The sequence below is a fragment of the Homo sapiens genome, chromosome 1 (genome assembly GCF_000001405.40).
Source record: "Homo sapiens chromosome 1, GRCh38.p14 Primary Assembly".
Classification (NCBI taxonomy): domain Eukaryota; kingdom Metazoa; phylum Chordata; class Mammalia; order Primates; family Hominidae; genus Homo; species Homo sapiens.
This window is the reverse complement of record NC_000001.11, coordinates 5,391,432-5,396,177: the sequence shown is the minus strand read 5'-3', so window position 1 is coordinate 5,396,177 and position 4,746 is coordinate 5,391,432.

Sequence of the window (4,746 nt, the reverse complement as noted above, 5' to 3'; positions counted from 1 at the left end):
AAGATGCAAAGGGGGCTGAGAAAATGGAAACTTGCCATCATGAGAATGAGCCTGGGATATCCTGCCTAGACACACGAGGCCACTTGGGAGAGAACTATCCAGGTGGGACCATTCTTAATCAGCCTCTTGTTGATCCATTCTCTTACCACATATGTGTGCATGAGACCAGATGAGATCAACCGAGATCAACCTAGCCCTGTCCAGACTGAAAGAATTTCCCAGCTGACCTATAGACTTGTGAACTAAATAAATCCTTGTTTGAAGCTAGTTTGTTCTGAGGTGGTTTGTTACACAGCTTAGCTGACTAATACACACCCATTGGATAAATGCATACTAAAGGCTTAAAGCTCAAACCTGGTATCAGTAAGAAACACATAGCTTCTGGTCTTAGGTGGAATATATTCTAGTACTGGACTCAATTGAGTATCTAATTAAATCTGGTACACAGTAAGCCTGGGTATGCATAGTATTTGAAGTATAGACCCTGGGAAGACTAGGAGGAGAAAGTCAAGACCTAGTTCAGAGAACCGAGATGACATTTGAAAGCAACCCCGCTGGAGAATGAGGCAAAAACAGAGGCCAAGGCTCAGCCACAAGGGTATGAGTGGGTCCCGGAGAGCCAAAGGCAAGGGCGCTCACTCAGCACTTACTGGAGACAGCAAAGAAATGCAAACCAAACCCTTCTCCAAGTCCCATTCTACAATCCTTGCAATTAACAATGAAATATCCTTTTTAGAGATCTTGGTCATTATTTACTGTAATTGTGACAAGATAAACCAGTCAACTAGATTTAAAGGAAGCTGTGGAGAGTGGTTCATTAAAAAATGGTGCACACCACACTTTGTAATTGACATGAAGAGCGATTTGCAGGAGGAAATTCAGTAATTTTCAATTAGCATGAAATAAGAAATGGCTCAATGTCAATTACTATTATATAATTATGATTACAGAGAATGGTGCATTTGAGAGTTGTGAGGGCCTGCAGAAGGTGTTTCCTGCTGGATGAGGTGCTGTCAGGAGCAGGAGCTGGCCATGGTCAAATGGCCACCAAGCTTCCATAGGGATCTGGCAGGCCCGTTCTAGATAATGATAGGATATAGGGCTTGGGTGGTCATGTCTTTTTAAAGTTTATTGCTTGTGTATTTGGTACCAAAGTTACTTCATTATTTGCAAGAAACTTTCTCTCCACTGGAGGCCTCTGAGTGAGATGGTGACATGGTAGGTTAAGGGGAAAGAAGGATGTCACTGTGTGTTCTGGAAGCATTCACCTGGCAGGAATGGTTGCCAGGTGCTGGGCTTGCAGAGCTGGAGCCAAGGCTCCCCACATCTTCCTTCCTTCCTCCCTTTCTTTTATATCTCCCTCCCTCCCTCTCTCCGTCCATCCCTCCCTCCCTTCCTCCCACCCTCCTTTCCTTCCTTCCTTCTTTCCTTCCTTCCTTCCTTTTCTTCCTCTCTCCCTTCTTTCCCTCCCTCCTTCCTTCTTTCCTTCCTTCCTTCTATCTTTCCCTCTCTCTCTTCCTCTCCCTCTTCCCTCTCTCTTTGCCCATGGATTGATCAAACCCAAGAGACTGATAACTCACGTGAATGCAAACTGTATAATTAAAACTACAATGTTTATGGGGACCAGCACAGCCATTTTGCCCTGGAAAGCTCAGTAGCTTTTGCCATGGTCAAAATGCAAGGGCAGTCAGATCACAGTCAGCGTCTGGTGACTGGATTCACCTGAAATGCTCCTGTTCCAGGTACCTGTTTCTGTCAGTGGGATCAATACACTCTCATGCTACGGGGAGTTCCAATGGCCTTTGCTTGGAGTACTAGGGTTGGTGCAAGGGCAGCGAGGCTGTGGTGCCCTCTAGTTGCAGGGTAAGGAGGCGGTGCCTTCGTTTGGTCTTCTGAAATGGAGTATTAAGAGTCTCTGGTCTTCTGGGTGATGCTGGAGGGGGACGACCCAGGACTGCCTCTGGTTCCTTCCTCTAGGAGTCCCTGCCCACCAGCTCCCTCTCTGATGACATCCTGCCTCCTGCCATAGCTCTGATCACATCCTTTCCATCCTGCAGCTGAAGGGCCCTGGGCCAAACTGTCTCCCTTATGCAAAGGTATTTTTGGGGGACCCTGGAAGACCTCTGCAAAAGAGAAATACATACAAAGGCAAATATTCCTTTCACAGATGACCTTTCATTTCCTCCCACAGTTTTCCCACCAGACTTCCTGATCAGCTAGCTGGAGGTAGGACAACAGAGCTGGTATTGACTGAGGACTCCCAGGCCAGGTGGCCCGTGCTTTACACAAACCATCTCATCGAACTCTCCTGACAACCTAGCAACAGACCAGGCATCTAAAATTAGAAAGCCACGTGCCTGCTCCAGGGCATATTACCGGTAGCAAGCAGTGCTGGGATTTGAACCTGGATGAGGGGGAGGTGGATCTGGCAATGTGGAATGTTATGTGCACCGTGTGATCCCTGGAAATAGTGACAGTTAAGAAACCTAGCCCTTTGTGTTCCTCGGAAAGCATCTCTGCAAAGATGGTCGAGCCTGATTTGCCTTAGATGAGACTCACAGATAATGCCTTCTGTACCTGGGACACGACCAGATACAGCTCCTCCAAATTCCCTTAAAAAAATTTTTTTTTGGCCTCATCATTGTTGAGCTGAGCAGGTTGTCCCCACAGAACCATAGGAGCAAATGCTTATTAGCCAAACTGGTTACTAAGCATTGGTTAAGGTTATATGAGGAACTGGTTAAGGCTTCGCATCTCTCCTTGCCCCAGGCCTACCCATGGCCTGAGCCAGCAGACAGCCCCTCGAAGACCAGCTGGACTCAGGGTCCAGCATTCTTGACCCATGATCTCACCTCCCACACCCGTTCTTCCTAGCCTTGCTTACTCCTCCCTGTGAAAGAAAAACCCTTCTTGCCTAGCTCCTTAGAGGCCTTGGGATTACACCACTCTCCCTGCTGCTATCATCCCCGCCCCACTTTTAAGAATCCCCTCCAATCAAGTCTCTCCTTACTGTGATGGTCCTCACCCCGCTTGCAAGAATCCCCCCAATCAAGTTTCTCCTTACTGTGATCCTGTCCACCCCGCTTGCAAGAATCCCCCCAGTCAAGTCATTCCTTACTCTGATCGTTTCTGCCCGGCTTGCAAGAATCCCCTGCAATCAAATCTCTCCTTACTGGGTCCGATTGTGTTTTCTCTTCAACAGCCTGAACTCCAGCATGGGATCCACCCTGACCTCCACCTGGCTGCCCTTCCCCTTCCTGCCCCAAATGATGACCAGCAGCGCTGGGACAGGCTCTCTCCCCTCAATCCTTATGACTGGTGCCCTGGGCAGGTCCCCACATGTGCTCAGTTTTTGCTTGGCTAATGAAGAGAGTGAATGATGCCCTCACTCCATGATGAGGTCGGAGGTCCAAGCCCTCCTGGGGCCGTGTATGACTGGCCTCTGAGGAGATAAGCACAGAAACCAAGGAAGCGTCTAGAAACTCTTATAGCCATTTGGCAGTGAGTGCCTTTGAATCCAATAATAAAAACTGGAGGTTATCTTTTGTATGACTACTTGTATGCGGACTTGTATTTCACTTATCTAGGGATTAATGTTTTCAAAAATGTTTTAAGAAGTGTTGGTCTGTGGCAGAGAGCTCCTTCCCCTTGGGTAATTGGTGAAGCCGGGCTCTGGAGAACCCTCAGGCCTGGGGTTTGCAGCTTGTCAAAGGAGCATCCGTCCACCCCCATAAGCTTCCAATTCATTCTCTTGCTGGCGTCCCTGAGGCTGAAGACGGGAATGGAACAAGAGGGAGGCGCCAGGTAGGAAGCCAGCATCTTCAGAAAGGCGGGGGCATCTGACATTTTCAGAAAAGGGGGCACATCTTGCATCTTCGGGAAGGTGGGCATATCTGGTGTGGCTTCACAGGAGAGCGTGGGGATTGGGAGACCACATCTGAGAATGCGTTTCCCTCCGCATGAGAACTGGCACTAGCTGGCATTTCTAGAGTACCTACTGTGTGCCAGGGGGTGTTTTAAGGCTCTAGATGCCCCTACGCATCTTATCCTTATGGCAATCCTTTCAGGTACGTAGGATGATTGTTGCTATTTTAAAGAATAAAACACAGATGTACAGACGTGAAGGAACCTGCCAGAAAGATGCACCAGGGCAGAACCAGGGGGAGACTCAGGAGCTGGACTCTGGAGCCCAACTGCTCAGACATCATGAGCCGTGTGTGTGTGTGTGTGTGTGTGTGCGCGCGCACGCTGTGATGCAGAGGTGCATGCATACATGTCTGTGTGCACACACATGTGGGTGTGCGCAGGTGTGTTCATGTATGTACACACATAAGTGTGTGCACATGCGTGTGTCTCTGTATATGCACATATGTAGGTGTATGCACGTATGTGTATATTTGCATTTATGTGTATACAGGCTACGTATACGTGAGTATGCATGTGTGCCCCTGTGCACTCGCGCGTGGGTGTGGGAGTGCATATGTTTGTGCACACTGTGTGCACACTGTATTTGTGAGGGGAATGAACCTGGCCATACAGTAAGAAAGGTGCAGACTCCCTTAACCATGTCCTCTCTGGGCTCCAACCCCATGGGCTCCAGGTCTTTGGCCACAGCCCTCAAGGATGGTAAAGGGGCCCAGGGTGATGGTGCCAATGGTGGGTTCACACCAGGGATGCTTAGACTCCCTTTAAACCCCGGAGACAAAGAGAAGCTGGTTACCCATGCCTGGCCCCCTTGCCTCCTCA